The sequence below is a fragment of the Homo sapiens genome, chromosome 14, assembly GCF_000001405.40.
Source record: "Homo sapiens chromosome 14, GRCh38.p14 Primary Assembly".
In the NCBI taxonomy this organism is placed as follows: domain Eukaryota; kingdom Metazoa; phylum Chordata; class Mammalia; order Primates; family Hominidae; genus Homo; species Homo sapiens.
In genome coordinates, this window is record NC_000014.9 from 35,434,611 (window position 1) to 35,453,257 (window position 18,647).

The 18,647-nt window shown below is 41.6% G+C and overlaps 1 long non-coding RNA gene across 1 annotated transcript; it reads right to left on the reverse strand.

Moving 5' to 3' along the window:
• Positions 1–10,691: 10,691 nt before the first annotated feature.
• LOC124903301 (uncharacterized) lies at positions 10,692–13,258 on the reverse strand. The gene is made up of 2 exons (XR_007064115.1): positions 12,594–13,258; positions 10,692–11,462 (listed from the first exon to the last, which is right to left on the reverse strand). It is a non-coding gene; the product is annotated as an uncharacterized LOC124903301 (long non-coding RNA).
• Positions 13,259–18,647: the final 5,389 nt, after the last annotated feature.

Sequence of the window (18,647 nt, forward strand, 5' to 3'; positions counted from 1 at the left end):
GTATACAGTCTAGTGTCTGTCATCACAAACATGTACATTTGGTCATGTCACTGTGCTTAGTTGCCATAACAGACACTTTTAAGATTATATAAAATAATATGCACTGCCCTAAATGGAATTTTCTGAGTGTAGTATTTTGATTGGGTTTTCAATTTCTTATGTAAGCACCTAAGGTTACCATTCTATTTAGTGCTCTTCAGGATGAAAAATATTTTGTCTTCCCACCTAGTTTCAGTGAATGAGGCCTGCAAATTTAACTGACTAAAGACAGATTAACAGGAAAAAAATGTATGATTTTTATTGATATTAATACTTTTAAATGCATGGAAGCTTCACAGAGATGATGTGAAAACTCAAAGACGTGCTCAGAACTTGAATTTTTTTTTTTGAGATAGTGTTTCACTCTGTCGCTCAGGCTGGAGCGCAGTGGCATAATCTCTGACTGCCAGGTTCAAGTGATTCTCCTGTCTCCATCTCCTGAGTAGATGGGACTACAGGCATGTGCCACCATGCCCCACTAATTTTTGAAATCCACCCGCCTCAGCCTCCCAAAGTGCTGGGATTACAGGTGTGAGCCACTGCACCTGGCCAGAACCTGGAGTTTGTATACCCTTCTTAAAAAAAGAAGATGGGTTTGGGCTTCAAGGGAAAATATTGTGGGAATTGACTAGGAAATATATGAAGGAAACTAATGGGAGATAAGGGTTATTTTAGTAGGGCTTGTTTATGAGGAGTCATCTTGGTGTGACATCTCTGGTAATGAGTCATTCTCAGTTTCCTGGCATAGAGGAGTACCTTCCTCAAAGGAAAATTTATGTCCTGTTTTTAGGCAGATAAAGGGAGGGCAGAGACCTTTTCCTCCATCAGTTGCCTTCAGCTCAAAATAATCCTTATGCCAAAGTGGCATATTTTGGGATGGCATATCCTGATCTCTTTCAGTAGCATCTCCCCATTTTTAGAAAGAAAGAAATGGAAGTATAGTAAGATTAGAGGATTTGGCTCTATTCACATGGCAAATTAGTGGCTTAGCTGGAACCAGAATCCCAATCTTCTGATCATGAGTCTTATAATTACTTTTATTATCTGAAGGTCAGGACCCAGCAGATGCTTTGGTTGGCAACAGAAGCATCAGGGTACACAGACTTTAGTAACCAATTCCTCCTAGACAAATGAGTGTTTACATTTTCAGTCTCAATGAAGGTTAAATTTTAGCATCTAACTACGTTGAAGAAGCGTTTGTACATGTTCTCCTTTTTCTTTATTAAGGAAATGTACACACACACAAAACCTTTACAATCCCATGATTCTGAAATAATGCAATTCCCACTGAAATAGTTATTTTGAGTTATCTTTGAAAGGAATTTTTTACTGGCTCAGTTATTTGTTCTCAGATAATTAGACCTCTTTCTCTACTTTTCAAGTGATTTAGTATCTTTTTTTCTGGATATGAAAGTTCTAAGTCCTCTGTTTATTAAAATTTCCAACATTACAGATATATACAACATGGTTATTAACAATATACTGTGTCTATCACACTCAGAGATAATCACTGCCAATTACTTAGTGTATTTCTCTCTAGGTTTTTTTCTATGTACATACTAAAAATATTTTTTTCACACAAAAATGGGATCATGTTATTCATACTGTTTTTTAAAACTTGAAGTAAAATCTATACAACATAAAATTTATCATTTTAGCCATTTTAAACTGTACAATTCAGTGTCTTTTAGTATAGCCACAATGTTATGCAACCAATTACCACTATTTAATTCCAGAATATTTTTGTCACCCCATAAACACCACCATACCCTATTCATACAGCTTGGCATCTTACTTTCTTACTTAATGCAACCTTCTACGTGAAGATATGTCACATTCTATTTCATAGCTCTATAGCATTTCATTATAAGCACCATAGTTATTTAAACAACTTCAATTAATGGACAGTTGCGTTATTCTGGGTTTTTTTTTTTTCTTTTTTTTTTTAGAGATGGGGTTTGTCCATGTCACCCATGTCACCCAGGCTGGTCTTGACTCAAGGAATCCACCTGCCTCGTCCTCCCAAAGTGCTGGGATTACAGGTATGAGCCACTGTGCTTGGCCTATTCCAGGTTTTTAAAATATTATAAACAGGCCAGGCGCAGTGGCTCACACCTGTAATCCCAGCACTTTGGGAGGCTGAGGCGAGCGGATCACCTGAGGTCAGGAGTTCAAGTCCAGCCTGCCAACATGGTGAAACCCTGTCTCTACTAAAAATACAAAATATTAGCCAGGTGTGGTAGTGGGCGTCTGTAATCTCAGTTACTTGGGAGGTTGAGGCAGGAGAATTGCTTGAACTCGGGAGGCGGAGGTTGCAGCGAGCTGAAACCACGCTACTGCACTCCAGCCTGGGTGACAGAGTGAGACTGTCTCAAAAATAATTAAATAAATAAATAAACAATCTATACTAAATGTCGAACATTTGCACGCTTTTGTGAGATAAATTATTAGAAATAAAAATGTTGAGTCAAAGGGCATGAACATTAAAAATGCAATAAAAATTGTTGTGTTTCTCTCCAAAAAAGTTGTACTAATTAACAATCCCAGCGAGGGTATTTCCCCATTCGTGTTTTCCAATCCTCTTGTCAACCCTGAATATTATACATTTAAAAATTTTTTCCAATCTGATAGGCAGAAATAATTGCATTATTGTTTTAGTTTTTGATTAATTATAAGGGAGGTTGAGCATCTCTTAACATTTCTAGCAATCTGTATTGTGTGTGACTTGCCTGTTCATGCTCTTTGCCCATAGTTCTACTGAGTTGTTTTCTTTTTCTTATTGATTTTTAGTTAGTTAATAAGAAATGTTTGTTTTGGAAGACTTTTTTGGTTTTCATTTTAAATCAACTTTATTCTTCCCTGCGCAGAAACAAATTTTCTTTGAGTCATCTGTGTTAAAAACTTCCAGGCCATTTAGTTAATGAACCTTTTCCTGCTGAAGAGGGCTTGGCCTGTGATGGTCAAAAGGATACTAACACCCTATTTCCCTTTCTTTTAGAGCTACCATCTCCTTTTCTCTCACATTAATTGCTTTGTGTTTTCCCTGCTTGATGTGTTTGACCTTAGGTTTTTCAAGTAGTCCTTCCTTCCTTCCTTATTAATACCCAGCTGGTTTTTTTTTTTTTTTTTTCTTTTTTTTTTTTTTTGAGATGGAGTCTCACTCTGTCACCCACTCTGGAGTGCAGTGGCATGATCTCGGCTCACTGCAACCTCCACCTCCTGGGTTCAAGCGATTCTCCAGCCTCAGCCTCCTGAGTAGCTGGGACTACAGGTGTGCACCACCGCGTCTGGCTAATTTTTGTATTTTTAGTAGAGACAGGGTTTCACTGCGTTGGCCAGGCTGATCTCAAACTCCTGACCTCAGGTGATCCACCCGCCTCAGCCTCCCAAAGTGCTGGGATTACAGGCCTGAGCCACTGTGCCTGGCCCTATCCAGCTGTATTATGTCAGAAGAAAATGAATTCCTTTGGAATTTGGAAACGTTGTATAAGGAAACCCCATTGCATTAGTACTCCTTTCAAGATTTGTCCAATTTTTGTCTCAACCAGAGTATTCTCTGATTTAAAGTTTGTTTTTTGGGCTGGGCACGGTGGCTCATGCCTATAATCCCAGCACTTTGGGAGGCCGAGGCGGGCGGATCACGAGGTCAGGAGATCGAGACCATCCTGGCTAATAAGGTGAAACCCTGTCTCTACTAAATATACAAAAAAAAAAAAATTAGCCAGGTATGTGGCGGGCGCCTGTAGTTCCAGCTACTCGGGAGGCTGAGGCAGAAGAATGGCGTGAACCTGGGAGGTGGAGCTTGCAGTGAGCCAAGATCGCGCCACTGCACTCCAGCCTGGGCAACAGAGACAGACTCCGTCTCAAAAAGAAAAAAAAAAAGGTTTGTTTTTTGGCCAGGTACAATGGCTTACGCCTGTAATCCCAGCACTTTGGGAGGCCGAGGTGGGCGGATCACCTGAGGTCAGGAGTTCGAGACCAGCCTAGCTGACATGGCAAAATCCTGTCTCTACCAAAAACACAACAATTAGCCAGGCGTGCTGGTGCGTACCTGTAGTCCCAGCTGCTCTGGAGGCTGAGGCATGCGAATCACTTGAACTCGGGAGGCAGAGGTTGCAGTGAGCCAAGATCACACTGCTGCTCTCCAGCCTGGGTGACAGAGTGAGACCCTATCTCAAAAAAAAAAGTTTATTCTTTGGAGTCCACCTGCTCTAAATGTTTTTTGGACTCAGAGTGAAGCCCTCACCTCAAAGCCAATGACAGCCATTAATTCTTTGTCAGTGTCAGAATGCTTGCCTAAATTCCAGGTTAGTTGGTCGTATGTAATTTTCCTGAGCTGCCTATAGTGGGAGCCCTTTTCTGCTTTTTTTTTTTTTTTTTTTTTTTGAGACAGGATCTTGCTCTGTCACTGAGGCTGAGGTGCAGTGGAGCTATCTTAGTTCAATTACAGGCGTGAACCACTGCGCCCAGCCTCTACTTCTTTTTATAAATTATTTATTTATTTGTTTGTTTATTTAATTTAGTAGAGACAGGGTCTTGCTATGTTGCCCAGGCTGGTTTCGAACTCCTGGCCTCAAGGGATTCTCCTGCCTCAGCCTCCCAAAGTGCCGGGACTATAGGCATGAGCCACCAGGCCTGGCCCCTCCTCCCTTTCCTCATTCAAACGACTATCCTGGGTTTCTGTGTGCTATCAGGTAGTGCTTTGCCCCAGAAGCAGCAGCAATGACCTCTGGGGCTAGATTGAGTTATTAATGAAGCCCCGTGGGATCCTTTGCAAAAGAAGAGTTGTTATAAATGGGAGGTGTGTCCTATATGGGTCTCAGGGGAGCTGAAAACAAACCAAGGATAAAAAAATGATGCCACAGCTGCTACCACCTGTGAGTAATGTGAGGGTGAAATGTTGACAACACACAGATTCCCCAGAGGAAGCTTGGGGTTGACAGAGTCACAATACTGCCATGCTTTTTTTCATGGTCTTAGCATTGATTTTCAAATTACACATTCACTTAAAGCCTAACCTGACCACTCGGGTGTGGGACTGGGTGGCTATGCAAGGCCCACAGCAGCTTTATTTTCTCCACTACCAAGCATCAGTGTGGGAACAAATCAGGCATTCTAGGTCCTTTTCAGCTACCAAGTGGCCAATGAACTTCATTCAGAGATGAGGCAAGCCAGCAGGATTTTCCTTTCCATGCATTTGACAATGTATAGAATGAAGTTTTGTTTTGTTTTCAAGAGAAAGAGCACAATATTACTCGGCACCTTTCTGTACTAGCTTCCACTTCCAAAGGGAGAGACCAAGTACTCCCTTAGTTGGTTCTTTCATATGGCTAGTTATGCCACTGGTACCTTCAGAAACATTAGCGCCCACCTCTATGGCTTCCTGAATGTTGCTAAGGTCTTTAACTGGCATGATCAATTTCTCGGGGGTCTTACATTTTGTTATATAACTAACTTTTCCTCAATTATATACATTACACATATTGCTGGTAGAAAAATCTGGAAAAGTATAAAAGAATGAAAAGCAACTGCATTCTTCTTATCAAAGAAAACCACTATTATTATCTTGATATATATATCCTTCCATGTTGTATATACATATATAGTTGATTCTCATTATCTTGGTAGTCAAGCTTTATAAAGGCATTGGGAACAATGAATTAGCAAATAGCCGTTGTTCCTAGGGGAAGTATAGAGTTAGGTTCCTGTGAACCTCTGGTCATAACATTTTCATCAACTGATCAATACATAACCTTGATTATTTGTGTATTTATGTTTAAATACACTAATCTATATTGTTGATTCATTAACATTGAACTCAAGGCTAACAGCACTATCACTCATTCCTGAATGAAACTTATCTTAACACAGGTATTTTCTCTGTAAAGCACATCACAGACTCTTTAACTGAGAAACACTTGACAGTACTTCAGCATTATGCTTGGGGGTATTTTATTTATTTATGTTTTGAGGCAGGGTCTCACTGTCGCCCACGCTGGAGTGCAGTGGCATGGTCACAGCTCACTGCAGCCTCAACCTCCTGGCTCAAGAGATTCTCCCACTTCAGCCTCCCATGTAGCTACTACAGGGATGCACTACCATACCTGGCTAATTTTTTTTTTTTTTTTTTTTTTTAGTAGAGATGAGGTCTCACTATGTTGCCCAGGCTGGTCTTAAACTCCTGAGCTCAAGCAATCCTCTGGCCTTGGCCTCCCAAAATATTGTGATTATAGGTGTGAACCACTGTGCCTGGCTGGCTTTTATTTTTTTGGGACAGAGTCTCACTCTGTTGCCCAGGCTGGAGTGCAGTGGTGTGATCTTGGCTCACTGAAAACTTGACCTCCTAGGTTCAAGTGATTCTCATGCCTCAGCCTCCTGGGAAGCTGCGATTACAAGCATTCACCCCACACCTAGCTAATTTTTGTATCTTTAGTAGAGATGGGTTTCACTATGTTGGCCAGGCTGGTCTTGACCTCCTGGCCTCAGGTGATCCACCTGCTTCGGCCTCCCAAAGTGCTGCGGTTACAGGCATGAGCCACTGTGCCTGGCCCTGGCCAGCATTTTAAACAGTGACATAATCAACAAAAAACACAAAACTGTGAAATACATGGCACTAAATAAACCATGAAAAGGAGTATTTATTTATGCTATAAGAGCTGAAACAAGAAGGCAGAGTATCGCCTTGTTTGGCCTCAGCTGGGAATGTGCACATCAGGTGACGCAAAATTTTTGGCACTCTGCGCAAGTCTGCAAATGACCACAAAAGTGCTGAAAGTATTGATTTTGGGGTCAAATAAGTTTTAGTGATTAGATGAATTTACAAATGCAGAATCTGTGAATAATGAAGATCAACTACACTGTAACATACTTTTTCACTTACCAATATATGATTTTTCTTTTTCTTTTTCTTTTTTTTTGAGACAGAATCTTGCCCTGTTGCCCAGGCTGGAGTGCAGTGGCACAATCTTGGCTCACTGCATCCTCCACCCTGCAAGGTTCAAGTGATTCTGTGTCTCAGCCTCCCAAGTAGCCGGGATTACAGGTGTCTGCCACTACACCCAGCTAATTTTTGTATTTTTAGTAGAGACAGGGTTTCACCATGTTGGCCAGGCTGGTCCTGAACTCCTGACCTTAAGTGATTCACCCACCTCAGCCTCCCAATGTGCTGGTATTACAGGTGTGGGCCACCGTGCCCAGCCCCACTATATGAATTTTAATGGCTATATATTAGTCCAAGATATGAATGTGCTATGATTTATTTAACCATTTTCCTAATCTTGACATTCCATTTGTTTTCAACTTTTTACCCTTTTACTGTCATCCTTGAATATAGATCTTGTTCATATCTGTTATTTATTTGGATATATTCCTACAAGATAAATTTGGTTCCAGTCATTTTTTTTTTCTTTTTTTTTTTTTCTTTTTTTTTTTCTGGAGACAGGGTCTCACTCTGTAACCCGGGCTGGAACGCAGTGGCATGATCACAGCTTACTGCAACCTCTGCCTCCCAGGCTCAAGTGATCCTCCCACCTCAGCCTCCTGAGTAGCTGGGATTACAGGTGCGCATTACCATGTCTGGCTGATTTTGGTATCTTTAGTAGAGACAGGGTTTTGCCACGTTGGCCAGGCTGGTCTCAACTCCTGGGCTCAAGCAGTCCTTCTGCCTCGGCCTCCCAAAGTGCTGGGGTTACAGGAGTAAGCCATTGCACCCAGCCCAGTCTTTAAATACAGAGTGTTATATAGTTATGTTTTGCATAATCTATATGTAGTCCATATTTTTATGTGCAAAGGGTTAACTCAGCAGGTGTAGGTATACAAATCCTGCACATTCCAGACATCTTCAGGACTGGCCTCTGACCAACTCCTGGGAGATAACCTCTAAACCCTTGGAATATCCTGCCTGACAAGAATGTCTGTTTGTGTTTTTCTTTTTTGAGACAGGGTCTTGCTCTGTTGCCCAGGCTGGAGTGCAGTGGTGCCATCACGGCTCACTGCAGCCTCGACCTCCCAAGCTCAATCAATCCTCCTGCCTCAGCCTCCCAAGTAGCTGGAACTACAGGTGTGTACCACCATGCCTAATTTTTGTATTTTTTGTAGAGCTGGGGTTTCACTAGGTTGCACAGGCTGGACTTGACTCCTGGGCTCGAGAGACCTGCCCACCTGAACCTCCCAAAGTGCTGGGATTACGGGCATGAACCACTGCGCCTGGCCAAGAATGTCTTTGTATAGTGATCATAGGCCATGTCAGATAAGTTACACTTGTGTGATTTATGGTGAACACCTGTTCTTGTTTACCTAGGGCCCAGGACCATACTGTATCAGTTAGGCATCTGAGGACCTGGAGACTGAGTAGCTAAGGTCAGTCACATAGGTGCTCTGTGTAATATACTGCCCTTTCCTCCCAAAAAAACCTTGGACATCTAGGCTCAGATGAGTCTCCCTGGTTAACAATACTTTGTACATATTGTCACATTGTAGCTGGGAGAATTCAGAGATCTGCTGGGAGAGTACAACTCAAAGCTTGCACTTGGTTTCTCCTGGACTCTGCTTCATGCACCTTTCTCCTTTGGTGATTTTAATCTCTATTTTTTTCTGTAATAAGCCCTAATCATTAGTATAACAGCTTTTCTGAGTTCTGCGGGTCATTATAATGAAGGATTGAAGCTAAATGTGGTTTTGGGGACCACCCCCCAAAGCAGTCTATTATATATTTATATACACATGTAGGATTATGTGCACCAAAACATATATAATGTATTTTATGGGAGATTTAAGAGGTTTTCAAGGGTAATTGGCTGTATTATACTTGATTTTTGCCTTACATTCTATTTTTAGAAACCAATCCTTATCAGCTGCAATTCCACTATTAAACATCTTTTTGAATGCTTATTGGCCATTTGAATTTCTTCCTCTGTGAATTGTCTATTCACGTTCTTTTTCTTGGCTGAGCCATTTTTGAATTTAGAAAAGAGTAAGCATATTCACATATACACAAAGGAAATCAAATTTTATTTCCCTGTTGGTACATACAGCTTGGGGTTTTCTATATGATTAGCAATTTGCTTTGTCTAAGTAATCCCTAAAATTGTTCACTCCCTCAGGAACACCAGCATTCTCCAATATCTAATTTTCTTATGTCTAGCCTCTATTTTTAAGTCATGTCATCTCTTAAGCCTTCTTTTTTTCGGGGCAAAACTTTCACTCACTGAATTTAGTTGATTTTCTTTTCTAATGTCTTTATACATTTTCCCTACATTGCCACCTTTCAAAATCAGACTTTCAGAATCTTCACATTTGATTAGTATAATAGTCTTCCTATGAATCCAGTAACTTCTACCCTTAAATCCATCCTGCAGATGCCAGATTAACCTTTGTAAAGCATTGATTTATTGTACCACTTTCTTGCTCAAAATATTCCAAGATTCTCTTTAGTTTCCCTTATTATATATGGGAACCTTTGGGGCCAGACTTGGAGATCTGGATGTTTTGAGCTTTGCCCACTTGATTTTCTCATGCAATCCACTCCCAAGAGAAAGATACTGTCTTAGTCCATTTTCTGTTGCTATAACTGAATACCTAAGACTGAGAAATTTATAAAGAAAATAAATGTATTTAGCTCAAGGTTCTGGAGGTTGGCAAGTCCAAGAACATGGTGTCAGCATCTGGTGAGGCTTTCTTGCTGCATTATAACATGGTGGAGGGCAACACATGGTGAGAGGGCAAGAGTGTGCCAGCTCCAATTTCTCTTCCTCTTCGTATAAAGCCACCAGTTCCATCATGGTGGCCCCACCCTGGTGACCTTATTTAATCCTAATTATTTCCCAAAGGCCCTACCTCCAAATACCATCAACATATGAATTTGAGGATTAAGTTTCCAACACATAAAATTTGGAGGACACATTCAAACTATAGCAGATGCTGAAATAGGACAGAGGTCCATTTCTGTGTGGTTAGTCCAAATGTGCTGAGCCAGGAAGAAGATAAATTGTGAACTAGGGGGTTGAAGTGGTAGTAGACATTAAAGCTTGGCTAAGGTGGTTCTAAAGTAATTGTTATTTACTGGTAAAATCAAGCTTGAAGAAGGAAAAGAGTGTGATCCATAACAATAGAATTGTATGTAATGGATGCCAGGCCCTGATTACAGTATGCTTTTATGTTTGGCCTTTGCTTCTAGAGGCTTCACTCCTGTTCTGAACTCTTAGTCTGCATTGTGAATTGGAGGTGGACTCCGGGTTTCTCCAAGTTCTTTCAAGGGAATTAGTGTTAGGAAGGCAATTAGGAATATGTGTAAGGCAGGCTGCAGATCTCTCAGGTATTACCCTCAGAGATTGACCCATTCTTGTGTATATTTTGCTTGGGTACACATGTATAGGACCCTGCAATGGGTGGACTGCTGTGGAGTATGTAGGGTTACTGGAAGACCTAGTAGACCAAGTATGCTCTCATAGCACCCAATCCAGTCTGGAGTCTAGACTTTAATGGCTAGGACATAAAAAATAATGTTGCTTCTACAGGAGACCTTAATGACCCACAGAACCATATCAGTAAAGTCACTGGAGAAGGAATATGATGAAAGCTGTAGGGGAGTAAAACTTTTCCTTAACCCTCCTAGGGTTCTTGGCTGGGCCTGAAAACTATGTTGACAGGACAGATTAACATGAGAAGAGCAAACACATTTATTTAATATAAGTTTTACATGACATAGGAGCCTTCATAAGGAAAGGAAGACCCAAAGAATGGTTAGCTTGAGGTTAAGCCAGTTCAGGTTAAGCCTGAGCACTTTTATATTTGATTTAATGAAGAGTGGAGTGTTGTGGGAAAATGTGATAGGACAAAGGATATGAACTAAGGATAGTAAACTGGAGGAAACATAGCAAGGCCCATTCCCTCAAATTCCTCTCAGCATCCTTCCGTCTTCTGACATAAGGATGCTCCCTTCCTCCAGTTATAGGGAGGGCACCTCTTCTGTGAGGGTCTTATGACGTGCTCTGGCGAGAAAGGGGAGGTTAGAGAGTCCTTCCTGCAATGGCTGCTTCTCAAATTCCTTCAGCTTAAAATATTCAATATGCCAAGGTGCCATATTTTGGGGTAGCATGTTTTGAACCCCATCAAACCCAACAGGACCAGGCAGGACCATATTCTTGTGAAATCTGCAACTGGGGTGATACAGGTTTAGTTCTAGAATCCATTTCTGGATGAGGATCCATTTGCCTGTCTTTCTTATCCCTGCCTTATTTAGAAAAAGATTTGAGACTGCATCAGACATGGGTTGTTGGAAGAACAGGGCCAACTTTGACTGTTTTTGACTGAACTTGAAAGGAGATCCCAGTTGGTAGAGATGTCTCAGATGTTATGGGTGCCAGGCCTCTCCCAAGCAGTGTTGAAGTCAGCCATCACTGTAGGAGCTCTTTCACCCAGAAGAGCTGTGGTTTGGGGTTAAACAAAGAGATGCATTTACAAAAGAAGTATGTTTAAGCTACGAGAGTATTTGTCTAGAGCAGATTACCAGATTTTGTCCCTGGAAATTATAATCATAGATCTAGGTTTGGGTTCAGGAATCTGGGGTGTTTCTTCAGAGAGGCTTGGGAAATACTGGCCTAGGATTTGTTTGTGAAAAAATAGTCCTGGCTGAGGTTGGAAGTATTGATCTTTTCCATGAAAAGGCATTGTGAGTTGAAGGAAATTAACATTATAGCATGAATGAAAAGTCTCTTTAATTTGCTGAAAAGCTTGACTTTATCCATCCAAGGAACCGAATGGATAATAGACCTTGAATAGATTCATCAGCAGGGTGGTGACATGGATGAAATGTGGGATGAATCCAAGGACCTTCTATATATCCTTAATGATTTGGGAAGGGGGATGCTACTTTAGGACTGTGGCAATCTTTGTTGGCATCAATCATCTGAACTTGGGTTAGCAGACAATATGTCCTAAGAACCTGTCTCAACCAGCTCCTATAACCATTTCTTCTAGTGTGTATTCACAGAGGGAGCACCCTAGATGATGTCATCTGAGGGTTTGTTATAATGTTAGATCTGGGGAGTAAATGTGTCATCTTGAGGGACAGTACAGGCATGTGTTCATACAAAAACATATCCTGGTTAAGAATCCTTGCTTTCGAGAAATCTGTGGCCTCAACTTGAGATTTATGGTAACCTGGCTACAGACTCAGCCTTGCCTAACTGCCCATAATTCTCTTGCTTTATCTCTCCTATTTCTCTAATGCTTTAGCAGACTGGCATCTGGATTGAATAGACTCCCTGACCCTGTCCTTCATCCACTATGACTTGTATGGGGCATTTTGATATTCCTTTAGTTTGGGTTGGCCTAGCAATTCTGGTAGTACTTGCTCTCAGAAGCAGTCTTGACTGGATCAGTTTATTGTCCTAGGCTTTTCCCCCTTCTTCTATTCCAGTCTCAAGAAGCCAGGTCCTAGAAGGTTAAATTGGCATTCAAGATTGTATTAGTCAGGGTTCTCTAGAGGGACAGGACTAACAGGATAGATATATATATATATATGAAAGGGAGTTTATTGAAGAGTATTGACTCACACGATCATAAGATGAAGTCCCACAATAGGCCGTCTGCAAGCTGAGGAGCAAGGAAGCCAGTCCGAGTCCCAACACCTCAAAAGTAGGGAAGCCAACAGTGCAGCCTTCAGTCTGTGGCTGATGGCTGGAGAGCCCCTGACAAACCACTGGTGTAAGTCCAAGAGTCGAAAAGCTGAAGAACTTGGAGTCCAATGTTCGAAGGCAGGAAGCATCCAGCACAGGAGAAAGATGAAGGCTGGAAGAGTCAGCCAGTCTAGTCCTTCCACGTTCCTCTGCCTGCTTTTATCCTAGCTGTGCTGGCAGCTGGGTGGGCAGATGGTGCCCACCCAGATTGAGGGTGGGTCTGCCTCTCCCAGTCCACTGTCTCAAATGTTAATTTCAGGACTGGGTGTGGTGGCTCATGCCTGTAATCCCAGCACTTTGGGAGGCTGAGGCAGGTGGATCACTTGAGGTCAGGAGTTCAAGACCAGCCTGGCCAATGTGGTGAAACCTCCTTTCTACTAAAAATACAAAAATTAGCCAGACATGGTGGTGGGCGTCTGTAATCCCAGCTACTCGGGAGGCTGAGGCAGGAGAATCGCTTAAACCTGGGAGACGGAGGTTGTGGTGAGCCGAGATTGCGTCACTGAACTCCAGCCTGGGCGACAGAGTGAGACTCCCATCTTAAAAAAAAAAAAAAAGTTAATTTCCTTTGGCAACACCCTCACAGACACACCCAAGAACAATACTTTGCATCCTTCAATCCAATCAAATTGACACTCAATATTAACCATCACAAAAATCTTCAACAGATCCTAATTTACCTAAGTTTTTTACCCACCAATCTCTCATGTGAAATCTTGGCATGTGAAGACTGGCTCAATCAATTGCACCCAGACAATGTCTAGCCCATTGTCATCCTTTTTTCACCACATATACTTGGATATCCCCTTCCCCTTCTCTGAATCTATCTGCACTCCTCTGTTTTTTTGTTTTGTTTTGTTTTTGAGATGGAGTCTCACTCTGTCACCCAGGCTGGAGTGCAGTGGCATGATCTTAACTCACTGCAACTTCCACCTACTGGGTTCAAGCGATTCTAATGCCTCAGCCTCCCAAGTAGCTGGGACTACAGGTACATGCCACCATGACTCGCTAATTTTTGTATTTTTAGTAGAGACAGGGTTTCATCATGTTGGCCAGGCTGGCCTCGAACTCTTGACCTCAAGTCATCTGCCTGCCTCAGACTCCCAAAGTGCTGGGATTACAGGTATGAGCCACCACGCCTGGCCTCCTCCGGTTTTTAGAATAACTTTTGCTTTTCATTATAAAATTATTACATGTTTACTGTAGGTAATTTGAAAAACATGGAGCAAACAATCTATAGAAAAGATAACCCAGGTTAGAAAAAGGTTGTTTCTTCCAACCTTTTTTTCCTATGTGTACAAATGTAAATGTGGGATTAGTAGTTATTGATAATATGAATATTTTGTGTGTGTGTGTATATATATATATATATATATATATATTTTTTTTATGGAGATGGAATCTTGCTCTGTCGCCCAGGCTGGAGTGCAGTTGTGCGATCTGGGCTCACTGCAACCTCCGCCTCCTGGGTTCAAGCAATTATCCTACCTCAGCCTCCCGAGTAGCTGGGACTACAGATGCATGCCGCCACGCCCAGCTAATTTTTTTTTTTTTTTGTATTTTAGTAGAGATGGGGTTTCACCATGTTGCCCAGGCTGGTCTCGAACTCCTGAGCTCAGGCAATCCACCTGCCTTGGCCTCCCAAAGTGTTAGGATTACAGGCGTGAGCCACTGCACCTGGCCTATATATTGTCTTTTTTTCAACTTAATAGTTCTTCAATCCTTCCTCTCCCTCTCCAGAACAACAAATTCCTCAATGAATCTCATGCAAGACATTTTAACCTCTTTCTTTAATACCTTAGGGGCTCCATCTTCTTCAGATATTATGCAAAAAAAGTTTGTGATGTAAAAAAATGCAGGCTGGGCATGGGGGCTCACGCCTGTAATCCCAGCACTTTGGCAGGCTAAGGCAGGAGGATCACTTGAGTCCAGGAGTTCAAGACCAGCCTGGGCCACACAGTGAGACCCTGTCTCTACAAAAAAATTAAAAATTGGCCAAGTGCGGCAGCATGCACTTGTGGTCCCAGCTACTTGGGAGGCTGAGGCGTGAGGACTGCCTGAGGCCAGGAGTCTGAGGCTGCAGTGAATTGTGTTCATGCCACTGCACTCCAGCCTAGGTGACAGAGTGAGACCCTGTCTCAAAATTTTTTTTTTTCAAATGCTAGCTCTCAAGAGAATAATAAAATTTATCTTGTAATAATAGTACAGGTAAGAAGGGGAGTAATGCATAAATATATTTAAATTTTTGATTATAAAATAATTGTATACTTTTTATGGACACTGGTCAATGTTAGGGGAGGGGAAATGGAAGAAAAAAATCTGTACAATGATCAACATTTTGAAATTTAGGAAAGTTTATATTACATGTAAGAATCCAGAGGCTGGGCACAGTGGCTCACGCCTGTAATCCCAGCACTCTGGGAGGCTGAGGTGGGTGGATCACCTGAGGTCAGGAGTTCAAGACCAGCCTGGCCATGGTGAAACCCTGTCTCTACTAAAAATACAAAAAATTAGCCAGGCGTGGTGGTGTGCACCTGTAATCCCAGCTACTTGGGAGGCTGAGGCAGGAGAATCGCTTGAACCCAGGAGGCAGAGGTTGCAGTGAGCCGAGATGGTGCCATTGCACTCCAGCCCGGGCAACAAGAGCAAAACTCCGTCTCAAAAAAAAAAAAAAAGAATCCAGAAATGTTTTTAATGCTTTATTTCTATTTGATGGTCTGTTTTCTATACATTTAAAAAATAGAATGTTATTACACAGTTTATATCCTTTATTAGTAGTATCTAATGAACATTGAAATAGTCTTTAAAAATGTAACTTTTCTTTTTTTTTTCTTTTTCTTTCTTTTTTTTTAGATGGAGTCTCAGTCTGTTGCCCAGGCTGGAGTGCAGGGGTGCAATCTCAGCTCACTGCAACCTCTGCCTTCTCGGTTCAAGCTATTCTCCTGCCTCGTCTTCCCAAGTAGCTGGGATTACAGGTGCCTGCCACTACATCCAGCTAATTTTTGTATTTTTAGTAGAGATGGGGTTTCACCATATTGGCCAGGCTGCTCTTGAACTCCTGACCTCAAGTGATCTGCCCACCTTGGCCTCCCAAAGTGCTGGGATTATAGATGTGAGCCACGGCGCCTGGCCAAAAATGTAATTTTCATAGTTATATATTCCATCATTTAAATTGAGTACTAAATATAATTAAATCATATTAATTGAAGGTAGATATCTAATTTTTTTTTTTTAACTCAGCACAGTTGTTTACTATTTGTATTTAAAATTGACTCGGCCAGGCACGGTGGCTCACGCCTGTAATCCCAGCACTTTGAGAGGGCGTGGTGAGCGGATCACCTGAGGTCAGGAGTGTGAGACCAACCTGGCCAACATGGTGAAACTCCACCTCTACTAAAAATACAAAAATTAGCTGGATGTGGTGGTTGGCGTCAGTAATCCCAGCTACTCAGGAGGCTGAGGCAGGAGAATCACTTGAACCCTGGAGGTGTAGTTTGCAGTGAGCTGAGATTGCAAAACTGCACTCAAAAAAATAAAAATAAAAATAAAAAATTGACTCAACATTTTCAGCGACAATATTCTCTTTGCTTGATCCTCAGACTAATTCAATGTCAGATTTTTCGTCACTCTTCCCAGATGCAAGAATGTCAAAGCCAGTGGTGAACCCTTAGAGATCAAGCAGACCAACCTCTTCACTTAACAGATAAGGAAACTGGGATTCAGAAGAGTCAAATGGCTTCCTGAAGGCCTCAGAGCTAGTAGTGACCCAGAGGCAAACTCTCTAAGATCTTGATGGGGCCTGGATCCAAACACTGCTTGTCTGGATCTAGAGAAGATACTATAGTTGCAGATAAAATCTACAAAACATGTCCTGAAAATCTTTATATATATCTCCTAGGCCTGTGTCTTTGTGTTCAAGATAGCTAAGTGAGATAGAAAACTATATTATCCCAATAACTTAATTTACTTTTTTATTAAAAAAAATTTGGGGGGTACATAGTAGCTATATGTATTTATGGGGTACATGAGATGTTTTGATACAGGCATGCAATGTGAAATAAGCACATCATGGAGAATGGGGTATCCATCCCCTCAAGCATTTATCCTTTGAGTTACAAACAATCCAATTACACTTTTTTTTTTTTTTGAGACAGAGTTTCATTCTTGTTGCTTAGGCTGGAGTGCAATGGTGCGATCTCAGCTCACTGCAACCTTCACTTCCCGGGTGCAAGCGATTCTCCTCCTTAGCCTCCCAAGTAGCTGGGATTACAGGCACCTGCCACCACCCAGCTAATTTTTGTATTTTTAGTAGAGACGGGGTTTCACCATGTTGGTCAGGCTGGTTTCGAACTCCTGACCTCAGGTCATCCACCCGCCTCGGCCTCCCAAAGTGCTGGGATTACAGGCATGAGCCACCACTCCTGGCCTCCATTATACTCTTTAAATTATTTAAAAATGTACAATTAAGGCTGGGTGCAGTGGTTCATGCCTGTAATCCCAGCACTTTGGGAGGCGAAGGCAGTTGGATCATTTGAGGTCAGGAGTTCAAGACCAGTCTGGCCAACATAGTGAAACCCCACATCTACTAAAAATACAAAAAATTAGCCAGGTGTGGTGGCAGGTGTGGGCAATCCCAGCTACTCGGGAGGCCGAGTTATGAGAATTGCTTGAACCTGGGAGGTGGAGGTTGCAGCGAGCTGAGATTGTGCCTCTACACTCCATCCTGGGCAACAGAGTGAGACTCCATCTCAGAAAAAAAAAGTACAATTAAGTTATTTTGACTATAGTCACCTTATTGTGCTATCAAATAGTAAGGTTTTATTCATTCTTTCTATTTTTTTTGTATCTATTACCATCTCCATTTCCCCCCCAATCCCCCATGACCCTTCCCAGCCTCTGGTAACCATCCTTCTACTCTATATGTCCATGAGTTCAAAAATTTTGATTTTTAGATCCCATAAATAAATGAGAACATGCAATGTTTGTCTTTCTGTGCATGGCTGGTGTCACTTAACATAGCGTCCTCCATTTCCATCCAGTTGTTGTAAATGACTGGATCTCATTCTTTTTTTATGGCTGAACAGTGCACCATTGTGTGTAAGTACCACCTTAAAAAATCTATTTATCTGTTGATGGACACTTAGGTTGCTTCCAAATCTTGGCAACTGTGAACAGAGTTGCAACAAACATGGGAATGCAGATATCTCTTGGACATACAGGTTTAATTTCCTTTGGATAATAACCAGTAGTAGGATTGCTAAATCATATGGCAGTTCTATTTTGAATTTTTTGAGGAACCTCCGAGCTGTTCTCCATAGTGGTTGCACTAATTTACATTCCCACCAACAGTGTACAAGGGTTCCCTTTTCTCCACATCCTTGCCAGCATTTGTTATTGCCTGTTTTTTGGATAGAAGCCACTTTAACTGGGGTGAGATGTTATCTCATTGTAGTTTTGATTTGCATTACTCTGGTAAGTGATGTTAAGCACCTTTTCATAAGCCTGTTTGCCATTTTTTTTGTTTTGTTTGTTTTTTATTTCAATAGTTTTTTGGGGGAACAGGTAGTGTTTGGTTATATGAATAAGTTATTTAGTGGTGATTTCTGAGATTTTGGTGAGCCTATCACTCGAGCAATGTACACTGTACCCAGTCTTTTATCCCTTTCCTCTCCCCGCATTTCCCTCAAGTTCCCAAAGTTCATTGTATCATTCTATGCCTTTGTGTCCTCATATCTTAGCTTCCAGGATTTTTAACTTTTTAACAATATTGGAATAAGCCATTTATTTTCTATTCACCTCAGCTTCTCACCAGTTGATCTCTCCAAGATTATTTCTATCTCATTCTGTTTTTGATTAGTATAGCAGAACCTCCAATAATGTTATTTGGTTATAACATCGATGAGAAAAATAAATGGATTCCCAGCTGGGGCC